The sequence below is a fragment of the Homo sapiens genome, chromosome 18 (assembly GCF_000001405.40).
Source record: "Homo sapiens chromosome 18, GRCh38.p14 Primary Assembly".
NCBI lineage: Eukaryota > Metazoa > Chordata > Mammalia > Primates > Hominidae > Homo > Homo sapiens.
In genome coordinates, this window is record NC_000018.10 from 24056972 (window position 1) to 24081787 (window position 24816).

The 24816-nt window shown below is 39.9% G+C and overlaps 1 protein-coding gene across 7 annotated transcripts in view, besides 1 other annotated feature; it reads left to right on the forward strand.

Moving 5' to 3' along the window:
- TTC39C (tetratricopeptide repeat domain 39C) overlaps positions 1 to 24816 on the forward strand; it is a 142714-nt gene that overhangs the window by 64085 nt on the left and 53813 nt on the right. For all 7 annotated transcript variants that reach the window (NM_153211.4, XM_047437297.1, XM_047437298.1 and 4 more), the window contains 4 exons: positions 7169 to 7217; positions 9041 to 9169; positions 12186 to 12300; positions 23614 to 23968. In NM_153211.4, the coding sequence (NP_694943.2) occupies positions 7185 to 7217; positions 9041 to 9169; positions 12186 to 12300; positions 23614 to 23968 (632 nt within the window). In that variant the 5' untranslated portion in view covers positions 7169 to 7184. The remainder of the gene's footprint in view (positions 1 to 7168; positions 7218 to 9040; positions 9170 to 12185; positions 12301 to 23613; positions 23969 to 24816) is intronic.
- Positions 19274 to 19568: an enhancer, noted in NCBI's record as "tiled region #15364; K562 Activating DNase unmatched - State 8:EnhW". NCBI's record gives its function as "activates a minimal TATA promoter and a strong SV40 promoter by Sharpr-MPRA in K562 cells {active_cell/tissue: K562}" and the evidence as "EXISTENCE:reporter gene assay evidence [ECO:0000049][PMID:27701403]".

A 24816-nucleotide genomic window follows, 5' to 3' on the forward strand; every position in this document is an offset into this window, starting at 1 on the left:
CATGCCTGGCCTTGTTTTTTAACTTTTTATTTTGGAAAATTTTATACATCTTGAAAAGTACATAGAATCATTTAATGAATTCTGATGTTCTTGTCACTCAGCTTCAATAATTATCAAGTCAGGGCCAGTCTTGCTTTATCTATCTTCTGTTCCCTTTTAATCTCTTTGCCCCAAATTATTTTGAAACAAATCCCAGTCAATGTCTCATTTTATCTGTAATTACTTTCGTACATCCCTCTAAAAAGTAGAAAATCCTTTAAAATATAGCCACAGTACCATTACACACCGAAAAAAAGAATACTAATTTATTAATATAATCAAATAGTCATCAGTGATCATTTATCTGATTGTTTTTCTTTTTAATATTTTTCTCTTTGTCATAAGGAAAAACTTACATACAGTAAAGAACTTTCACAGTGTAAACATCAATGTAACTACTATCCAGGTAAAGTTATCAGGCATTTTCAACACTGCAGTGCCCTCCTTTGGGCTCCTTCTTAAATTGATATTCCCCCAGAGGTAGCCACTGTTCAGACTAGAACATTAGAAGTGAATAGTGGTTTTGGATTTCATATACATGGACTCATCTAGGATATACTCTTTTGTGTCTAGCTTCTTTCACTCAATGTTATTGCTTATGAGATTAATTCATGTTATTGCGTTGAGTGAATATGCTGTAATACTAGATCTGTTCTACCGTGATGGATGCTTGAATTATTTCCACTTTGTGGCTAGTATGAATAACACTGCTATTAACATGGTGTATGTGTCTTTTGGGGGAACATAATCATTCATTTCTGTTGTGAAAATTACTGGTTTACCCAGTAATCCCATGATTGGGTATATACCCTAATGAATATGAATTGTTCTGCCATAAAGGCACATGCATGTGTGTGTTCATTGCAGCACTATTCACAATAGCAAAGACATAGAGTCAACCTAAATATCCATCAGTTGGAGACTGGATAAAGAAAATGTGGTACATATACTGTGGAATACTATGCAGCCATAAAAAAGAATGAGATCATGTCCTTTGCAGGAACATGGATGGGGCTGGAGGCCATTAGTGTAAGCAAACCAATGCAGGAACAGAAAACCAAATACTCCATGTCCTCACTTATAAGTGGGAGCTAAACACTGAGTGCACTTGAACACAAAGAAGGGACCAACAGACAGCAGGGTCTACTTGAGGGTGGAGGGTAGGAAGAGGGTGAGGATCGAAAAACTACCTATTGTGTACTATGCTTATTACCTGGGTGATGAAATCATTTGTACACCAAACATCTGTGACACACAATTTACCTATATAGCAAACCTTTACATGTACCACTGAACCTAAAATTAAAAAAATTAATGACAACTATATGTGCATAAAATTAAACCACTGTTAAATTCATTAGAGGCTGGACGCAATAGCTCACGCCTGTAATCCCAGCATTTTGGGAGGCAGAGGCAGGTGGATCACTTGAAGTCTGGCGTTTGAGACCAGCATGGTCGACATGGTGAAACCCCATCTCTACTAAAAATACAAAAATTAGCCGGGTGTGGTGGCATGAACCTGAGGTGCCAGCTACTTGGGAGGCTGAGACACAAGAATCACTTGAACCCAGGAGGCGGAGGCTGCAGTGAGCCGACCACTGCACTGCAGCCTGGGTGTCAGAGTGAGACTCTGTCTCAAAAAAAAAATCATTAGAATAAATAATAAAATTATCAAGTTCATAATAAAAAAAGTTACTAGAGTAGGCATACGTTTAGATTTAATAGACACTGATAAACGAAGTAGGAGAAAACTAGTTGCTCCACATCTCACTAACGCTTGATATTGTCAGTCCTTCCTGACAACCTGATGAGTATGGTGGTATCTCATTTTGGTTTTAATTTGGATTTCCCTGATAACTAATGATTTTCAGCACTTTTTAATATGTTTACTGACTTTTGGATACCCTCATTTGTGAAGTGCCTATTTAAGATTTTGGCCATCTTTTTAGGAAGTTTTCAGTCTTTTACTGATTCCTGGAAGTTTTTAATGTATCCTGAAGATGAGCTCTTAGTTGGATATGTGTATTGCAAATATCTTCTCCCAGTCTGTGGTTTGCTTTTTCCAATCTCTTATGACTGAAAAGAAATTCTTAATTTTAATTGTCTTGATGTCTGTTCAAGTAAGCATCTAGCTTTGTTGCTGTTCTTCAGATTTGATTTGGCTATTCTAAATTATTTACTTTTCCATATAAATTTGTTTAATTTTTTAAAAAACTTTTAAGTTCAGAGGTACATGTGCAGTTTTGTTACATAGAAAAACTTGTGTCATGGAGATTTGTTGTACAGATTATTTCATCACCCAGGTATTAAGCCTAGTACTAATTTTTTATTTTTTCCAGTCCCCTCCCTCCTCCCACCCTCCATCGTCAAGTAGGCCTCCGTGTCTGTTGTTCCCCTCTATGTGTCCATATGTTCTCAACACTTAGCTCCCACTTATAGGTCAGAACATTCGGTGTTTGGTTTTCTGTTCCTGCATGAGTTTGCTAAGGATAATGGCCTCCAGCTCTATCTGTGTCCTTGCAAAGGACATGATCTTGTTCCTTTTTATGGTTGCATAGTATTCAATGGTATACATATACCACATTTTCTTTATTCAGTCTATCATTGATGGGCATTTCGGTTGATTCCATGTCTTTGCTATTGTGAATAGTGCTGCAGTGAACATACATGTGCATGTGTCTTTAGAACAATTTATAGTTTTTTGGGTATATACCCAGTAACAGGATTCCTGGGTTGAATGGTATATTAGTTTGTTTTCACGCTGCTGATAAAGATATACCTGAGACTGAGACTGGGTAATTTATAAAGGAAAGAGTTTTAATTAACTCATAGTTCCACATGGCTGGGGAGGCCTCACAATCACGGCAGAAGGCAGAGGAGGAGCAAAGTCATGTCCTGCATGGCAGCAGGCAAAGAGAGAATGAGAGCCAGGTGAAAGGGGAAATGCCTTATAAAACAATCAGATCTCATGAGGCTTATTCATTACCATCCCCCCATGATTCAATTATCTCCCACCAGCTCCCTCCCACAACACTTGGGAATTATGGGAGCTACAATTCAAGGTGAGATTTGGGTGGGGACACAGCCAAACCATATCAAATAGTATTTCTGCCTCTAGGTCTTTGAGGAATTGCCACACTGTCTTCCACAATGGTTGAACTAATTCATACTCCCACCAACAGTGTAAGAGTGTTCCTTTTTCTCCACAACCTTGCCAGCATCTGTTGTTTTTTGACTTTTTAATAATAACCATTCTGACTGGTGTGAGACGGTACCTTATTGTGGTTTTGATTTGCGTTTCTGTTTTTTTTTTTTTTTTTTTTTTGAGACGTAGTCTCTCTCTGTCGCCCAGGCTGAAGTGCAGTGGCGCGATCTCGGCTCACTGCAGCTTCTGCCACTCAGGTTCCAGTGATTCTCCTGCCTCAGCCTCCCAGGTAGCTGGGATTATAGGCATGCCCAGCTAATTTTTGTATTTTTAGTAGAGATGGGGTTTCACCATGTTAGCCAGGCTGGTCTCGAACTCCTGACCTCAGGTGATCTGCCCGCCTCAGCCTCCCAAAGTGCTAGGATTACAGGCGTGAGCCACTGCGCCTGGCCGTATTCTTTTAAAGATAAAAAATTCAGTGAGTTTGCTTTTATTCTTCCAGTTTGTATTCTGGACTATAAGATTTAAAAGTTTATTTCATCCTTTTTCCTATGCACAAAGTCCTGGGTCCCAACAAACACTGACATACTTAACTGATTGCTTTCTCACGTACTATGACCCAGCAGCCTTAGCATAACAGTACCCATTTGTCCAATAAGAATATGATTACGAAAATAGTTAAGATTTTTCTTTTGGCCACATTTTGGGGTCAGTTTTTAAGGGTATTTCACAATAGGGATGTACTGTCAGATTACTGTGTTGTAAAGTCTCTTGGACTAGTTCTGCTCTGGTATTATATTACCAACTGGATTTGCTTTTAGGGACATTTAAGTCACTTTCTTTTGACTTTAGGGGTTGCATTATTAACATTTAACTCAGTATTACTGTGAATAATTTTTACATGGTTCCAAAATGAAATCTATAAAACAAGATGTATAAAAGGGAGCTTCATTTCCATCCTTTTTTCTTCTTCCCTATTCCCCTCCCTCACCTTATAGGTATCAATTTTGAAAAAAATGTTATAGATTATCCTACCATTGTTTTTTCAATATCAGCAAATATTTAGTCTTCTTTTTTTTTTTTTAAAAAAATAGGTTTTTCACTATGGTTTATTTCACTCACTCCATTTTTTGTGTATCTTTTGGTAGTTAGAAAGGTTTGTATTTGGGTTCTAATGCTTATACTCAGCCTTCACATAGCATTCCCACTCCCCTCTTGTTTGGTCTTTGTTGGTTCCAAATATGAGGAGTAATTGAAATGAGCTAGGAGCCTCTTCCTCCCCGTCCATAGCACTGGTTTTGAACCAATGACCTTCGTACTCTTTGGGAACATTTCCAGATCTCTGGAATGAATGCATTTTGTGTAGAGACACATGCATGGTCCACAACTGATTAGGATGCAGATGCAGTAAGTTAACTTAGGATCACTTGAAATAAGTAAAAAAAAAAAAAAAAAAAAAAAGCGTGGGCTGGGTGTGGTGGCTCACACCAGTAATCCCAGCACTTTGGGAGGCCAAGGAGGGCAGATCACTTGAGGAAGGAGCTCGAGACCAGCCTGCTCAATATAGTGAAACCCCGTCTGTATTAAAAATACAATTAATTAGCTGGGCATGGTGGTGCCTGCCTGTAATCCCAGCTACTCGGGAGGCTGAGGCAGGAGAATGGCTGGAACCTGGGAGGCGGATGTTGCAGTGAGCCAAGATTGCACAATTGCACTCCAGCCTGGGTGACAGAGTGAGACTCTGTTTAAAAAGAAAACAAACCAAGGACCAAGTGAACCATGTTAGGTCGAGCTCTTCTAACAGCAAGTGATGTGCAGCCTGAGAGGACGATCGCCCGTCCTGCAGTGCATTGTCACGTGCCCGATGCACCCGGGTGCTGTGGGGGATGCAGACAGTTCTTCAAGGAGGGAAAATGGTTTCCTTGCGTTGTTGCTATGGTTTCTTTTCCCCCCTCTTAAATGATAAGATGGTAGGTGAAGTCGAAAGGGCCAGGTTAGGTACCATGAATAATTAATTGCCGCAGCTCTCAGAAACCTAATTTTAGCCAAGAATAAGAAGCAGATGTGGCAACAGTAGGCCCTAGTTTCAGCTTCCTTCATTTTTCAAATGGCAAAGTGGCTAATATTTGAGCAGGGAAAGGGAAAAGGAGGGAAAAGCTGCAGTACTCAGCACTTGATTGAGATGTGTCTGTTCCTGAAAGGCAGAATTCTGTGTCATCCCTTCCTTCACTGACTCGGATTTGTGAAACACCTGCTATGTGTGTAAGGTGGATATGATATATAGTAGGGTAGGGTAGGAGCCCATACTGTTATTCCCATATAGTGCTGTGGAATGAGAAAAACTAATGTGTATTTTGAGGCAGATTGTGGGGATGACAGATGCTACAGGAGTGTGCCGTTTGATCTAGGTTCATGGGTGTGAGCACTGGTTAGGGATTCCTCACAAGGGAATTGACCCCCTCACTTTTTTTCATGTAGGTTTAAGTAACCTATTAAATGGGAAAAGCAGACTATTATTAACTGTAGAATTTAGGTAGGTACTAAGTAGATGAAAAAGAAAATGGCAACAGAAGGTTAATGTAAAATAGAGTCCTGGATCTCACACACACTGTCTTTCTCTGACACACACACAGTGTACCAGGAGAAAAATGAATGTGTGTACCCTTCAATTCAGTAACACTACCTCTAGCATTTTATCCCAAAAATATATTTGGCCTTGCCTGCAAAAACATATGTACAAGATGTCCATTAGGCATATGTGTGTGTATACACACAGAGTCACACACATGTAAGTGTGCACCTTCTCTTTCCCGTAGACCCACACATACTCTCACTTTGCATATATTCTGTATTTATAGTCAGAGATTGAATAAATTGTTTCATCCCTTTTTATAGTGACCATATAGTATTTGCATAATAAAAAATCAGTAAAACGATTTTCATTTAAGAAGGTAATTACAACTAGCTTTTCCTTTTAGTGCAATTTATAGAAATCTGGATTTTGTACTATTTTGGATTTTGAAGCAGAACATTTATATTCTTTTATTCTTTAAATTGGTATTGATTTGGTTTCATTTTTGCCTTACAACAAAATCAGATGATTACAAGGGGGGAATGGCTGACTCTTAGCGAGGCATTCCTAAGGTTCTGGGATTGATGAGTAAGTGTGTGAAGTCTGACTCAGTGAAGAGACCCTTTGATCTACTCTAGAAACTATACTGATTTTCTGTGTTGAACATTTGTAACAAGTTTTGCATTTTAAAAATGATCTAACTGGTAACTGTAGAAGATTATTTTAAAAATGAATAATAACTGTCTTTCTTTGGCCATGTTTTTGTAGTTGTCAGATTGTTTCTACCTTTTTTTTTTTTTTTTGAGACAGAGTCTCACTCTCTCGCCCAGGCTGGAGTGCAGTGGTGTGGTCTTGGCTCAGTGCAACCTCCACCTCTTGGATTCACGCAATTGTCCCTGCCTCAGGCTCCCCAGTAGCTGGGATTACAGACACCCGCCACCACTTGCTGCTAACTTTTGTATTTTTAGTAGAGATGGGGTTTTGTCATGTTGGCTAGGCTGGTCTCCAACTGCTAATCTCAGGTAATCTGCCTGCCTCAGCCTCCCAAAGTGCTGGGATTACAGACGTGAGCCACCGCGCCTGGCCTGTTTCTACTATCTTTATATTTACTGTGTCAACTCTTTAACAGCCACAGTTACAAAGTTTACTAAGGCAGTGTCTGTTATAATTTGACTTTTTGTTTGCCTTGCTTTGAAGAATCAGAGGCAAATTCTATCCTGGCAGATAGAGCCATAAACCACCTTGCCTCTTTAACTTCTTTATTAGGGTAATTTAATCTGCTTGATGACCTTAACTTCTTTTATTCAATTAGAAGGATTATATGGTAATCATGATATGTCAAATGCTTTTAAAATAAAATTTTACAGTGAAAATAATTGTATTTTGTGTGTGTGTGTGTGTTTTTTTAACAGAAATCATAGCCCACTAATGAGTTTTGGAGCCAGCTTTGTCAGTTTTTTGGTAAGTTGATATCTTAAGACCTATTGGCATGAAGGAAACAATTATATAAAGTAATGTCTGTTAGTGGCTACCAGTTGTATAGATACACTATTGTAGAAAGTCTTTTAGAGTTTAAAACTGAAATAAAGTTTTTGCCTATTACCCAATGCCTATGAAATAATCTGCCTTCCCTAATTTTAAAAATAAAATGCTTACATCTTATTTATAGGGTATTATATTTTAACCAAAGTCCTTTTTAGAATAAAAATGTAATGGAAAGACCTTCAATAATTAAAACTGCATTCGAGGTAGAAAAAAAGTCTGGGTTTGGGTAATAAAGGTTTGCTCTGAAATTATTGAGTAAATGTGGACTAGAAGTCAAGTTAAATGAGCAGAGCTAAAATTCGTCAGTTTGTATTACATTTCCAAATATGAGTATTTGGGAATTGAGGAAGTAGGTTGCAGTTAGTTTTAAAGTACATTGGGCAATGTGGAAAATGGGATACTTCGATTTTTCGGAAATAGTAATAACCACACAAATTACTTTCAAACACATAATTTTTTTAAAAGACTATTAATGAATTGTGTAACAGCAAGAAAAAAAAAGACATGATAGGGACTGAAAAAGAGAAAGCATTTAGATCCAAGATTGGGAAAGATGTCAGCAAATGGGCATGCCACAGCCTGGCAGTGCTCAACCACAGGTACCACGCCAGCTTCCAGTGAGAAGTTTTTATTCAAGGTATTTATTTCCTCTTATTGCCAGTTAATGCAACAAAAATGTTAACGGCTATTGTTTGAAAGAATACATTATTCCCAACCCTAAGGAAAATGGTACTGGGTGGCGGTTGTAACATTAGTACCCAAGTGATAACAAGGGCTGCGAATGAGATCTAACCAAAGGGTCTTGGCTGAGTCTGGTGGTGGAGGAGGAGGAGAAGCAAGGCCACAGCAGGGTTGAGATTTCAGCAGCTTGAGAGGAGGGTTGGGAAGAAAAGTGTGGCAGGGAGGCCTGGGCCGAGGTTTGGCTAGAATGGAAAAGTAGGTTAGAGCCATACTGAGGAAGCCTGAAAGGCCAAGATGGAGCTGGTGGAATTTGATAGGAAATGAGGAGTTAGAGACAGTAGGTTCATCAGGTCCTTCCAAGAACCAGGTATCCCGCAGCAAGTCTGTCTCTGCCCCTGTAAGCCCATTCATCTCAGAAACCTCAGTTCTACTGTGTAAAAGTCACAGGTGCTCAGCAGAGATTCAGTAGATTTCCCCTACTTCGTTAAATGTGGCTTGAAAAAGTCCACCAGGATCAGGTGCCTGGAAACAAGCTGTCATGGAATTTTTAAACATAGACAATATAAAATGAATTCCTTATAAGTGAACCTACTGGAATTGCAGTCCCTGGAAAGACTGAAGATTTTCCAGGTGTACCTACAAGCTGTTGTTTCATTAGCATTTCTGTGCAGTAGTTGGTGGAGCCAGGGATCCATATGTGGGTAGAATGAACTTCTGCATCAGACGCCACTGTAAAAACTGAATTGAGCAGACCAGTCAGAAATCATAGAGAATTTTTGTTACTGTGTTTAATAACAGCAACAACAAAATTTGTAGAACAGTAATGGCAAGGACATTTATTACCGTATTTCTTTCATGATGATGTGATAGAGGTATAGTCTTATTTCATGTTGAGATTACAGTTTCTTTGAATGAATAGATTATGCTGTAACATTGTGATTCTTTTGCTTGCAATAAATAATTTAAGTGTTTTTTTAATTTGGAGTTTTCTTGTAATAAGTTGGCTTAAATTTTCAGATACTAATTCATTCATTCATTCATTCTTTCTTTCTTGGAAGAATGCCATGATGACATTTGAGGAAGAAAAAATGCAGTTGGCATGTGATGACTTAAAAACCACAGAAAAACTGTGTGAAAGTGAAGAGGCTGGAGTAATTGAAACAATCAAGAATAAAATTAAGAAGAACGTAAGTATTGCGGCTTTAGGTTGTGGACTGTGTGCCACTTATTTAGAATATCACTTTTGTTCATTTAGAACAAAAGCCATTTGCTTGGTTTTAGTATTTAGAATATGACTGAAAAACCACAATGTTTCTTATGGTTTTTGGTTATATAAAATGTTATCTCTTATAAAAACAGAAGCTGCTTTCAGTCATCCAGAGCCATTCAGTGCATGTCCTTTTGATATCTTAGAATCATCTTCTTCCATAATGGGCCGTGTGGGAAGGGCTGTTTTAATGAGGTTTTCCTATATGTAATTCAAATAGGATACGATGGCAGTTGATGAATAATAGAATTGCATTTTGGTGTAATTCTGGAATTCAGCTGTTTACCTAATTTTCCCCAGGCCTCACCAGCCTTTGGTTATAAATAGTCATAATACCATCAGAATCCAGTTTTCCTGATTTTGCCCTCACCATTTCAGTGCAAAAGTGCTAGGCTATGGAGAGGCACCCTCCTAGCCCTGATGTTACTTGGAGTGCCCAAGGGTCTCACATACGTCACTGACAAATCAGTCTGTTGGATATAGTCATCAGAAGCCACCTGTCTTCTGCTCCTGCATGCCCGTGCCCTGCCTATGAAGCATCACAGGAGAGTGTTTCACCTCTGCTCTTGTTTATGGTGTCCACCATGAGAAAGCCACTGATGGGCCAAGTGTCCCGCCTCCTGATGCTCCAGAGGGCCAGAGTTTTCCTAGCTTCCTCTCTCTCCAGCCTGACACATCCTGCACAGTAGATGTTATTACAAACGAGGAAACAGAAGCATCTTGACATTTTCTCAAGTGAATAGAATAGTGAGTGCTGGGGCTAGATTTGGAACAACAGTGACCACGATGGATTATGCTAAAATCTAGAAAAAAGGGAAACAGATCATTCTGGTGTGTCTGCTGTGTATACTGTTGACATATTGGCAAAAATCCTGTTATTTCTTCTGTCATTGTGATAGCATATGAAAGCTATTTAACTTATTCAAGTTTGTTTTGTACTAAGAATGCAGAATGTTCTATTCTGGAGTGTTCTATTCTTCATTTTAGAAACATTATGATAAAGACCAACGTTTTATAACGTCTAATCAATGACCAAGTGCTGTTGACTCTTTTTCTTAATACCTCTTGAATTCATCAACTACTCTCCATCCTCACTGCCATCTCTGTAGGTCAGACACTATCCCACTTGTCTAAGACACATGGGTATTTCTGCCTCCAGTCTCACGGTTCTTTAATGTAGGGGTCCCCAGCCTCTGGGCCATGGACCCGTACTGGTCTATGGGCTGTTAGGAACCAAGCCACAGGGCAGGAGGTGATCTGCAGGGCAGGTGAGCATTACCACCTGAGCTTCGCCTCCTGTCAGATCAAGAGTGTCATGAGATTGTCATAGGAGCATGAACTGTCTATGCAAGGGATCTAGGGTGCACCCTCCTTATGAGAATCTAACTAACGCCTGATGACGTGAGGTGGAACAGTTTCATCCTGAAACCATTAACCCATCTCCTCCCACCCCCTCAACCCAGTCCATGGAAAAATTGTCTTCCGTGAAGCTGGTCCCTGGTGCCAAAAAGGTTGGAGAATGCTGCTCTAATTCATTGACCATAATATAGTCACTAAAATGCAAATTTGTTGCTTGCTTGGTTTTCGGTGGCCCCTCTCACCAGCCATTGCCATTATAATAAAGTACAGACTTCTTAATGTGGCTGACTTGGCGTTTACGTTTCCTCTGCCTGGAACATTCTCCTCCCTCGTTTCCTGGTTCCTACTCTTCTTTAGTTCTTTCTACGTGTCCTTTTCCTCAAAGACTGTTGCTTGAGGCTCCATGCCCTGTTGAGTGTGTCTCCTACAGCTTCCCATAGTTCCCTGTCCTTACCCTTCAGAGAGCTTTCTACAGTGCATAGTAATATGGTCTATATTTTGTCATTAGAATGAAAGCTTATTTACATGTCTGTCATCAGTATCCAGTACCATGTCTAGCACCTGTGTTAATAATTAAGATTTGTAATGAGTCCTTGCAATTTAAAAAGCATTTTCACATTCAGTATCTCATTAGCCCTCCCAACAATCCTGCACAGTAGATTTTATGACAAACGAGGAAACAGAAGCATCTTGACATTTTCCCAAGTGAATAGAATAGTGAGTGCTGGGGCTAGGTTTGAAACAACAGTGACCACGATGGATTATGCTAAAATCTAGAAAAAAGGGAAACACATCATTCTGGCTTGTCTACTGTGTATACTGTTGACATATTTGCAAAAATTCTATTATTTCATCTGTCATTGTGATAGCATATTAAAGCTATTTAACTTATTTTATTCAAGTTTACTTTGTACTAAGAATGCAGAGTGTTCTATTCTGAAGTGTTCTATTTTTCATTTTAGAAACATTATGATAAAGACCAACATTTTATAAAAAGTGATTTGACTTTTTGCATATTTGTATTTATATGACTTATATTTCAAGTAGTTTGTGATTTATTCAAAGCTAATTTTTAATTCCAGAATATTTTCTCCTTAATGGAAATGTAATCAGTTTCTGATCCTTACATCTCAGTTGCATGCACGAAAAGAATGCCCCTAATGTTATCCTACCTGAAGACAGGTGGCTGCAAAGTTGACTTTTCAGGTTATCTACTTTGAGGAATATATTGTACCTTTAATGATTTTTATTCTGGATAAGAAAGACTTCATATTGTTTGTTTTTAAAAAAGGTGAAACTCCGAGGTTTTTTGTTGCTTTTCGTATTTCCCATGAATTCAGCTTGTATCACTTAGAATATTTTTGTCTTTGAGTTACAGTGCTCAAACAAACAAAACAAAGTCAGACTAATGGGAATTTGGAGCTGCCAGGCTCATAGGATAAATTTGGGCTTGGCTTTGAGTGCCAGGTTTCACAATTCGTATGTGAAATTATCTTGTACAATAACCTGATACTGTTTGGGGGAACTGTCGTTGTTATGTGTGATTTATCAGTGTGGACATTCTTTCTGCCAAACAGGTTGATGTCCGAAAATCCGCCCCCTCTATGGTTGATCGGCTTCAGAGGCAGATAATCATAGCTGACTGCCAGGTTTACCTGGCTGTGCTTTCATTTGTAAAACAAGAATTGTCAGGTATGCTGAAGCATTATTTTTAATGGTTTTCAGTATTCAGTGCACACAATTAGTAATATGCTTTTTTAAGAATGCCTTATATTTCAGTCTTTGAACACATGTGGCACCTCTTTGGGGCATGATACTGATTTATTACTGGGGAAATTGAAACCACAAGTGTTTAATGTGTGTTTAGTGGAGCAGTTTTTGTGCCAGAGTCTGTTTCATCCTCTTGTCTCAAGAGAATTCTGTCATACTGACAGAAATTGCTACTGCCTCTTATATGTATGTAGATGTATAATAGTTTTTCTTTGTGGGAATCAGGTTGTGATAATAACCTTTAAAGTGAAATGTAACTGGCTTAAATTTAAGGTTTTCAGGAAGTTGTTATTAAGGCCTGAGTGGCTTCAATGGTTTCACGTATATTAGGAGATCGTTAAAGATCATTAAAGATTTGCTAATATACTGGAATGACCTGCATTTTAACAAACTTTAGTGAGGGATATAAACTAATTTCTTAATTAGTCTGTCCAAGACAAATGTTTTCTAGGCTTAGCTTTAATTTCTTGAGTGAAATAGACTCAAGTGAGCCTCTAAAACTTGTCCTATGACTGAGTCTAAAATTGACCTAATTCTTTTAATTATGTGGTTATGGGTGTCTCTGATATTGACAGCAGAAACTTCCCATTTTGGTAGATAGAATTTACTTGAAAAAACCGAAAATTCTAAAAGGAAATCAATTAAAATTCACTGTCAGAAAGATATTTTCTCCTAAACCCTAAATGAAGAAGGATAAATTTCTTTTAAATTATAACATACTCTTTTCTTTCTAGCCTATCAGAAGCCGGTTTTTCCCCCTTTTTCTTGTTTCTCTTGCTCTTTCTTTGTCTCTGTCTCGTACGAACGATGCTTGGCTTCTGTTTGGCTGAAGTCAAAAGTGGAATATAACTTCTATTTTGATCTCTGAAATTTGGACTTCTAAGAATTGATCTTTCTTTTAAAATATGTTCTATGATGTACATTCACTGTTTGTTTTGGTTCAATAATTCTTTTTCTCCTTAACCCTCTTCTCAGGACTCTTCTAACAATACCTTACTTATATGGTCAAGAACTCATAGCTCATGTGAATTTTTTATAATGCAGTAATGTCATATCCCGCATTTGGAGCGCACTGCTGACTCAGATATAAAAGAGTACCAGAGCTTATCTGGACCTTGTTGGTCAAGACAAGAGCTCTGTGATTTTGTACTTCCTTTTCCTGACACTCAGGGACTCTCATAAGGAGCTAATTTTAACCATTAAGAAAATATCTGGCCAGGTGCCTTGGCTCACACTTGTAATCCCAGCACATTAGGAGGCTTAAGCAGGCGGATCACTTGAATCAGGAGTTCGAGACCAGCCTGGCCAACATGGTGAAACCCCGTCTCTACTAAAAATACAAAAATTAGCTGGGTGTGGTGGTGGTCGCTGTAATCCCAGCTACTTGGGAGGCTGAGGCAGGAGAATCGCTTGAACATGGGAGGTGGGGGTTGCAGTGAGCTGAGATCACTCCACCGCACTCCAGCCTGGGTGACAGAGTGAGACTTAAAAAGAAAAGAAAAGAAAAGAAAATACCTGTTGAGAGAGGAGGATAAAGCAAATGTAATAAAAGTTAAAGTGTGAGAATATATCAGAACTTTTTTGTTTTTTGTTTTTTGAAATGGAGTCTCGCAGTGTTTCCTTGGTTGGAGTGCAGTGGTGCGATCTTGGTTCACTGCAACCTCTGCCTCCCAGGTTCAAGTGATTCTCCTGCCTCAGCCTCCAGAGTAGCTGGGATTACAGGCGCCCACCACCACGCCCAACTAATTTTTTGTACTTTTAGTAGAGGCGGGGTTTCACTATGTTGGTCGGCCTGGTTTTGAACTCTGACCTTGTGATCTGCCTGCCTCGGCCTCCCAAAGTGCTGGCATTACAGGTGTGAGCTGCCGTGCCCAGCCAGAACTTTCTAAATGAGTACGTCTGTCTTTCGTTTGTTCAATCATTGATCCATTCAACAAATAATTATAGAGCACATGCTGTGTGCTAAGCACTTAGTTAGATAAGCAAACACAGGCCTAGTCCCTGCCCTCGTGAAGCTGAGAATTATCAGATAATAGTATTTATAGTTAAGATTATTCTGATTGTAAAATTACTAAATATTAGTATGGAATATTTTGGAAAGATAGAAAGCAAGTCATCATCTCCAATTTCACCACTTAGAGAAAATCTCTTTTTATTAATGATCTACTTTATATTTCTCTAATTTTTTGCAAAATTGAATCTAAAGTATTTTGTATCTTGTTTTTTCTTTTCAATTATACTTTGGGTATTTTCCCTATGACTTACTTTCAGAACATAATTTTAAATAATAGTGTGTTAGTTTATCATATGGGTATGCCCTAATGTATTTAGTCAATTCCTCATGAACGTTTAGACTGGTGTGCATTTTTGGGGGGTATTAGTGAGATTGAATATGCTTTTGTATTTTATCCATAAACTATATTTCTTTCACAAATTATCTTTACAGCCTTTGCCTATTCTTCTAATAGTTTGATATTATTGTTACTTAATCCTGTTCATCATAGTATTTGACAGCATTCTTGCTTCTTCCTGAAGTCCTATGATTTATTGAATGTGATATTGACATTGAAGTGAAATTCTCATAGGCATGAAAGCCTCAGCTTGTCATAAACTTATGTAGTGGTTATTTGCTTTGTGAATAGCTCAGTATTTGTTTCAAACAAACACAACCAACAATGTGCTCTATTTGCCTTTGAGACACCCAGTGGGTTATTAAGCTACAAATAATTTGTTTACTTCATTGTTGGGATCCATGTTTCTTAGAAAACATTTTACATGGATAATTTTCTTGGGGAAAAAAAAAAAACAAAGCTCCTTGTTGGAGATGTTTGTTATGGGTGGCCCTCCCCACCCTTGGAGCGGGGCAGCACTGAGGGGCCAGGGGCACACACACAGGCCAGAGCTCTGGTAGGGATGAGCCAATGTGAACTTTTTAATGATTCATGCTTTTTTTTTTTTTTTAAAGACAGTTTCTCACTCTGTCATGCAGGCTGGAGTGCAGTGGCACAATCTCGGCTCACAGCACAACCACTGCCTCCCGGGTTCAAGTGATTCTCGTACGTTAGCCTCCCAAGTAGCTAGGATTACAGGTGCATGCCACCACTCCTGGCTAATTTTTGGTATTTTTAGTAGAGACAGGGTTTCACCATGTTGGCCAGGCTGGTCTCGAACTCCTGCCCTTAAGTGATCCATCCGCCTTGGTCTCCCAAAGTGCTGGGATTGCAGGCATGGGCCACCGTGCCCGGTCAATGCTTCTTACTTTTAAAAAAGCTTGTGTTTATCTCATTTAAACTTCCTTATAATGAATTACTCCATCATCTCTTTAATTTCCCATACTACTTTATATCTTTTTAACTCTATTATCCAAGTGTCTTTTATTGCAGCAAGAATATATTACTTTTGTGATAAATTATTTTTAAAACATATTTTATGGCACTTGCCACCTTGTTTGATTATAAATTTCCTTTATTTCCTTTTGGATTTGAAGAGAGGGCCCATGTCTTTCTCACCTTTGTATTCTTGGCAACATATATACTCTAGTTTTCCTCAGATGAGATTGTTTTCCTTACTTGACAGGTGAGACAGTTGCAGTTGAATGATTTATGCAGCTTGTTGGTGATGACAGAACCAGGGCCTGAGCCATGGTTTTCTCATTTTCTAACTGAAATCCTGGTGCTGTCCACGTGCTCCCACCTTAGTTTGGTTACTTGTGCTATCACCTTCCAAGTGGCCCAGAAACCCAGGTTCCTTGGGACCTTCTCCCTCAGGTGCTCCCTGTACCCTGGGGAACTAGCCCTGGGCTAGAATAGTAGCCACACTGCCTCTTGCTTCCCTCTGGGCCACACTCTCCATTGCTGCTAGAGTATCTTTCCAGAACTGCTTAAACCCATGCTTTAAACACTTAGCTGGTGGGCCTCACCTGCAAGGGAAGGTCTGAATTCCTTTTGTGCGGGGCATGTAAGACCCTGCCTCTTTCCCAGCCACCTGCCCTTCCACTACCTCATCTAGCTGAGCTGAGATTCTCACACTCCCTGAATACCCGCTGCTGCCTCGAGCTTTTATTCACCTTGCCCTCTCAGTGTGGAACACCCCTACCCCCTTTATCTTTCTCTTATGCTTAATCAAGTGCAACCCAGGCCTTCCTCCTTTGTACAGCATTCCCTCCTCATATCAATCCTGGTTCTTTTTTTTTTTAAGAGGCAAGGTCTCACTCTGTCATCCAGGCTGGAGATCATAGCTCACTTCAGCCTTGAGGTCCCAGGTTCAAGTGATCCTCTTGCCTCAGCCTCCTGAGTAGCTGGGACTACAGGCATGTACCACCACACCTGGCTAATTTTTTAAAAATTTTTTGTAGAGATAGGGGTCTCACTATGCTGCCCAGGCAGGTCTTGAACTCCTGGGCTCAAGCAATCCTTCCGCCTTGTCCTCCCAAAGTGTGGGGATTACAGGTGTGAGCCACCATGCCCAGCCAATCTGGCCTTTGTTGTGCTATTACTTATACCCTGTACATCACCATTTACTGCAGGTATCACATAGCAATACTCATATTTATTTACATGTCTGCCTAAAGTATTAGGCTACATACCCCTTGAGGGCAGGGACTGTGCAATCTACCTGCTGTTTTACCTCTTCCCCACATATGTTGAGCATTTCCTATGTGCCCACATGCTGTGAGATGATAGGTGCTGGTAGTCTTGAGATGAATGAGATGCACTTCATGCCCTGGGAGAACTCATGGTTTGGCAGTAGGAACAAATAAGTAAGTAAATAAATTCTAATTCAGCAGGATACTTCAGCCATAGACATATAAGTTAGTTATAGAGGTTGAATAGGGAACAAGTGTTTCTGAATCTTTGGGAAGATCAAGGATCCCTTATCCCTGAGGAGGTTTATAAAGCATGAAGGTCCGTTTCCTTCTCTGTGTCCTTAGAACCTGGTAGGACGTTTTTGCCTAGAACATGGTGGGTGGATACTAAAATCCATTCATGCCTAGTGTTCCATTATTGGAACGCTAAGCATGTGGGAGTTATTTATATCCTACGGTTCAAGGTCATTGCCAAGATCTGATTGCAAAAATTCACAAATTTGCAACCTCAGGCATAATTAAAGGGAGGAAATGGAGGAAAGGTAATGCCATTCAGGAAGATATTGGGATTGGAGAAGTGAGCCTATTAGAAGTCTGTTGGTGACACATGAAAAAATGCTCATCATCACCGGCCATCAGAGAAATGCAGATCAAAATCACAATGAGATACCATCTCACATAAGTTAGAATGGTGATCGTTAAAAAGTCAGGAAACAACAGGTGCTGGAGAGGATGTGGAGAAATAGGAACACTTTTACACTGTTGGTGGGACGGTAAACTAGTTCAACCATTGTGGAAGACAGTGTGGCGACTCCTCAGGGATCTAGAACTAGAAATACCATTTGACCTAGCCATCTCATTACTGGGTATATACCCAGAGGATTATAAATCATGCTGCTATAAAGACACATGCACATGTATGTTTATTGCGGCACTATTCACAATAGCAAAGACTTGGAACCAACCCAAATATCCATCAATGATAGACTGGATAAAGAAAATGTGGCACATATACACCATGGAATACTATGCAGCCATAAAAAAGGATGAGTTCATGTCCTTTGTAGGGACATGGATGAAGCTGGAAACCATCATTCTGAGCAAACTATTGTAAGGACAGAAAACTAAACACGCATGTTCTCACTTATAGGTTAGAATTGAACAATGAGAACACTTGGACACAGGGTGGGGAACATCACACACCGGGGCCTGTCGTGGGGTGGGGGGAGTGGGGAGGGTTGGCATTAAGAGAAATACCTAATGTAAATGACAAGTTAATGGGTGCAGCACACCAACATGGCACATGTATACATACGTAACAAACCTGCACATTGTGCACATGTACGCTAGAACTTAAAGTATAATTAAAAAAAAAAAAGTCTGTTGGTGAAGGTTGAAGATAACGAGGCAGTGGGCTGACTGGTGAAAACTAAATCATCTTTTGTCCTTCAAAGTCTTGGGCCAGGAACAGTGGCTCACACCTGTGCACGGTGGCTCCTAGCACTTTGGGAGGCCGAAGTGGGTGGATTGCTTGAGTCTAGGAGTTTGAGACCAGCCTGGGCAACATGGCAAAACCCATCTCTACTAAAAATACAAAAAATCAGCCAGGCTTGGTGGCGTGTGCCTGTAGTCCCAGCTACTCAGGAGGCTGAGGTGGAAGAATCACCTGAGCTTGGGAGGTCGGGGCTGCAGTAAGGTGAGATAGTGCCACTGCACTGCAGCCTGAGCAATCCAAGTGAGACCTTGTCTCAAAAAAAAAAAAAAAAAAACAAAAAAAAAACCTCTATTATTTGAGACACAAGAAAGGCAAGCCTGAATTGCCATGGGTTAACCAGCCTCCTTCCGGGACAGTTGGACAGACAGGCTTTAATAGATGCTTGCACCAGATACAGTCCCCCTGAAAAATTACAAAATTTATCCAAGATCAATTTCATGTAACTTGATATTCCCATTTTGCAAGCAGCTCTTGCCCTTTCCCAGGGAAGACTTCTGTCCCCGTATGGGGCAGGGTTTCCTCTCGCCCCCTCCATCTCTCAGCTAGTTGTTGCCTGGTCCTCATAAGGTGGGACAGATTGTCTGTTGCCCAGGCTGGAGTGCAGTGGCACAATCTTGGGTCACTACAACCTCCACCTCCTGGTTTCATGCTATTCTCCTGCCTCAGCCTCCTGAGTAGCTGGAACTACAGGCACCTGCCACCAAGCCCGGCTAATTTTTTTGTATTTTTTAGTAGAGACAGGGTTTCACCATGTTGGCCAGGCTGGTTTTGAACTCCTGACCTCAAGTGATCTGCCTGCCTCAGCCTCCAAAAGTGCTGGGATTACAGGCATGAGCCACCGCGCCCGGCCTGCTCTGTGGTTTTTCTGCTGTCTCCACCTCCCTCCACAGACACAGCGATAACGACAGCTGAATGATTCATACTTGACCTTTCAGAGCAGCCAGATGAAAGGCTGTGCAGGGTGTATGGCTCTTAAATAGCGTGTTCTCTGCTTGTTGGGAAGACATGCACTCAGCTGCTGTGTCCTCTCATGGAGCTGCTGGAGCGGCCCCTGTAGGAGCCACAGTGCAGAGCGTCCTGTTCTCGGTGCTGCATTCTCCCCCAGCCTCTGCCTCCTCCTGCTTGGCCTGGCTGTGGCTGGAATTTTTGCTTTACAGAGTGTGGGATGGAGAGTAGGGCAAGTCCCGAGAACCTGTTTCAGTGCCAAGTTGGACGCAGAATGTAGTAAAAGCAACATGGCCTCTCTCGACATGAGCATTAAGTTTGTTTTGACATACATCAGTTTATCATCTTTGACTCAGTCAAAAACGTTGGGTTCTGTTTCCTTGGCTCAAATTAAGGACCTTACAGCTTGTTACCATAGACTTTAACATGTGCCTTCAGACATTGGCACCCATCTTAGGCACAAAATTAAAGACGGATTGAATTCATTGTATTCTTATTCTAGAAGAGTGGGGTTTTCACCGTGGAGGTTTCTGTTGTGTTTTATTGATTTAGTTCCACGTACTCAGGATTGGATGGATTCTTAACGTTTGTTTCCAGTTCTACCATCCATTTCTGTAGCTCCTCACCTGAGGTCAGAATTGTTAGCATTCATGTCTATAATCCTGGTCCCTTCGACGTCACGTTGAGAGATGCCGTTTCTCCGGGAGCAGGTGTTCACTCCTCTGTTGGGCTTGCACCCTTTTGTCCCGGTGTGTCCCCTGCTTCACTCTGCCTCCAAGCCGCTCGCCCATCTGCTCCTTCCTACTGGCATTCCTGCTGCTCTCTCCTGGGGTGTTCCCTTTCCCTTAGTGCAAGCTTCACTTCCTTTAATAAAGCTGAGGTAGCCTGGAAAATACAGGATAAAATGGAGTTAAATTTATCCCTCCAAATTTCCAGTTAAGAATGGGTAGGAGTAAAGTGTTCTTCCGAAATCCTGCAGTAACTATTTTGCACTCTCTAATTTATTTATGTGTTTACTACATGGAAAACTATTTAGTGACAGAAAAAGGAGATAAAAAAGAACAATTCACTCATCATCTCAGCGTTGTTTGTTTTCACTCTTTCTGTATGTGACCCAATAGAGCATTTAAATATGTATGTTAAGTTGCATGCTTATTTTTTCCTTTGTTTATTTTCTTTTCTAATTTTATTGTGGGCATTAGGCGGGATTGGACAATGTTTTATAGTTCTTTGGCGTTCCTCAGGTGGCAAGCACAGTGCCAGGCACATAATAGAAACAGTCAATAGCCAATCGATATTTTTAGGGTTTTACAGATTTGTTTAAAATCTGCAGCCAGTGATTATTTGTTTTCAATTAGATTCCAATTGCCTCTGTGCTCTCAAGAATATATATTCTAGTTTCTATTTTTTTCTGCTTTTCTGTTAAACCTTTGGCTTTTTGGATTGTAACTGAGCATCATCTTTCTTGTTTGTGGACATGCTGGATCAATCCAGACACTTAAAAATCCACTTTGTTAGTATAAAAGAAGCTTCAAGGTTTTCTCCAGGCTTTCTTTTCCTACAGTGCTTCCCTTTAGGAGGGGAAAAAGTCATTGAGCCTCTTAAAGGAAGGATCTCTGTCTTATTTCACTTCGATTCACCCAGAACAGTGCTTGAAATGTGGTGTTTGTACAGTAAATATTCTTGTTAAGTAGAACGAATGAAAAGAAATTGTTTCAAATGTATTACTTTTATTATTTTAAAGTTACTAAAAAAACTTTGTAGATTAATTTGTTTTACTTGTTCATTCTACCCTATAGCATTCTTTTTAGTGGAGGTAGACTATAGGACATTAATCACCCAGAAGTTGTAGGATAGTTGTTTTTAAATGTGATCCCCTGGGTGATATGTTCATCATTTGTCAGAAAATTGATGCATTTAAGTAAAATAATAGCTTGATACCATAGATTGGGGGTCCCCAAGACCACCTCCAGGTTTGATGACTTACATTCAAGACTCATCTTACAGTCATATTTTTAGCTATGACTTCTTACAGCTAAATTACGTTGCAGTCTTATTTTTTCATTTGTATTGGTTTTCTTTCCTAATTTTATTGTGGATATTTGGAGGGCTTAGATTATGTTTTGTAGTTCGTTTGTGTTCCTTAGATACAAAGGAAAATCAGCAAAGGGAAAAAGCACATGGGGTGGCGGAGTCCAGGGGAGACCAGGCACAAGCTTCCAAGGCTTTGCTCTGCAGGGAGTCACACAGGATGTGCTAATTTGCTCCAGCAACGAGTTACGACAGCACAAATGAAATGTCACTAACCAGGAAATCTCATTAGAGACTTAATGCCAGAGTTTTTATTGGGGGCCGATCATGTAGGCACATAGACAAATTCCGGACTCCCAGAAGAAAAATCAGTGTTCAATGTACATCATATTATTTGTGCAGACAGTTTAGGTGCACACAGTGAGCCACTCTTATCAGTCCTGGAAATGGTAAGAACTTTCCCAGAATCCAAGCTTCCATTCCAGCCAAGGGCCAACCTTTTTAGCAGTTCTATTGAAGGATAGCAGTCAGGCCTGCTGCATCAACTCTTTTCTACACATCTATTCTTAGATCACTCTCAATTCCGGGATTGGGTTTTTGTAAATCAGATTTTATTTTATTTCATATATTTTCTGAAATTTTAAAAATGCCGTTCTGAAAACCTCTTTTCCTACTGTTCTAAAGGGCCTGGAAGTCTGACAGTTCATGTTGTCCATTTGTACATGAGGGTCAGAGTTGGTATCATATTAATAACATTGCCAAGTGGATAAGCTCTCTTATAGTTATGAGAGAACTTTATTTTACAGAAAATTCCCTACAGAAAATCCTTTCTTCAAAAATGAGATGATGATGCACTCAGATAGTCCTATGTAAGTTGACCTCCCCTAGCCCTTCCTACTCATCTGAAGGTAAAAATATTCCTAGGAGGAGTGGTCAACAGTAGGGTCCTGACAGGGGCCAGTGGTGGAGGGAGGTGGTAAATCCCATGTCTTACCTCTTATACTTCAAGTCGTCTTTGTGGTATGTGTTCCTAAGAGGGCTCTGTTAAGAAAAATTGGCCTAACAGAAAATAGTGGAGGTGGCTTTAAAGATAAGAGATTTGTACCTTCTGCTGTGCTGTAACTTTTTTACTGCTACTTCACTGTGGTTGGGGCAGTGGATAAACCCCAGTTTCATAAACCAAATAAAGCAATTCTGATAAGGTGTGCTTAAGCCACACAGTACTCCTCAGATATACATGAATTGGGAGGTCTTTACATTTTGCATTTAACATGAATGACTTTTTTGATAATAAACTGGCTATTTGTTTACCCAGTAAATATTAGTCTTTTTTGCCTGCTTATTTTATTTTTTTTTGGCAAGACGCAATGCTTGGTGCTTGGGTATACATTTTTTTCTTTCTTTTTTTTTTTTTGAGACAGGATCTCACTCTGTTGCCCAGGCTGGCATGCCGTGGCACAGTTGTGGCTCACTGCAGCCTTGACCTCTCAGGCTCAGGGAATCCTCCCACCTCAGCCTCCCAGGTAGCTGGGACTACAGGTGTGCACTACCACACCTGGCTAAATTTTGTATTTTTTATAGAGATGAGATTTCTCCATGTTGCTCAGCCTGGTCTCAAACTCCTGGACTTAAGTAATCTGCCCACCACGGCCTCCCAAAGTGCTGAGATTACAGGCATGAGCCACCGCACCCAACCTTGGCTAGAAATTTAATGGTCACCTAGACCTAGGCCAAGAACTTGCTTTTGAGGAGGAATGTAACACAGGGTAGACAAATGCAAGGATTATAAAAAAGTTTATCAGGAAAGCAGTATAGTAATTCAGAAATGCAGCGGAGGGTTTCACAGAACTCGTGAAAAGATGTTGGATTCAGGTGATTCATTCATTCATTCGATGTATATTACATACCGTACTCTAGGTACTGCATGAAGGGCTTTATAGAACAATGAGCAGAAACACACATGCTTACCAGTCATCATCCAGTGTAGTGAAGGGAGACTGATGAGAAATAAGACATTTAAGTAAGCACTATAAGAACACTGGGTACAACAATAGATACTAATTTTTATGTTTTTTACATTTTTGGCTTGATTTTCAGGTTACTGTTCAGTATCCTTTACTATAGAAATAGAAAAATTATTTTGAATGTTTTTGAATCTTTTCTCCCCTTCTCTTTTTAGCTTATATCAAAGGTGGGTGGATCCTTAGGAAAGCCTGGAAGATTTACAATAAATGCTATCTGGACATCAATGCCCTTCAGGAGCTGTATCAGAAGAAGCTAACTGAAGAGTCCTTGACTTCTGATGCTGCAAATGATAATCACATTGTGGCTGAAGGGGTGTCTGAGGAGTCTCTGAACAGACTGAAAGGTGCTGTTAGCTTTGGATATGGCCTTTTTCACCTTTGCATATCCATGGTGCCCCCAAACCTGCTCAAAATCATCAACCTGCTGGGTTTTCCTGGAGACCGCCTACAGGGGCTTTCTTCACTGATGTATGCAAGCGAAAGTAAGGACATGAAGGCCCCTTTAGCTACGTGAGTAGCTGTATTGCAATGCTTTGGTAGATAATATAGTGTTGAAAGTAAGTAAACGACAATCAAAGACTTTAAAGGAAACTTCAGGTAAAATGTTTGGTTGGTTGACAGGGTGCTGTGTCTTATGTCTTTCAATGCAACACCAAGGACTGTGTTCTGTGGTCGTGGTGGTGGTTCTAAGCTGACTTTAGTTAGAGAACAAGGCGTTGTTCACTAGTCTCACAAGTCATGTATTTTAAAACCTCAAATGATTTTATAAGCAGTTTTTGTGACTTTGACCACATTCTCTGAGATTCACGATTCTGATTTTTGGACTTAGGAGGTACAAATTTGCTAAGCTTTTTCTGTGTTTCTGAAATTTTTATTCTTATAAAGAATTCTCACATTGGGTAATTTTCCTTGATGATTCAAGGTGGTTTCCTATATGTGACATGGATATTTTGTGCTCTTTCGCTAAACTGAGTCATGTTATGTTCCTTGGTTTAAACTTAAATAATAATTATTTAAGCAGGAGAGCATGAGGAAGCTGATATAACTATCTAGAACAAGAATTCACCAATTTCTACATCAGTTAAAAGTGATGTGTTTTTTGTTTGTTTGTTTTAGTCTGGCAAATATCTACCATTTGTAACTTGAGTAATTTAACACGATTCCGGATATTCTTTGTCTAACATTACAGCACTTGTCAAAATTTTCCCCAAAAATGTTGATATCATAGAGGACCTTACCTCTATTTCTACTTGTATCAGTATTGAGAAATTTGGATGTTAACTCTTAATCAACTGATAGCTATTTAAAATACCATTAATTTTTCATTTAAAAAAATTATGCCTCCCTAAACTCATTGA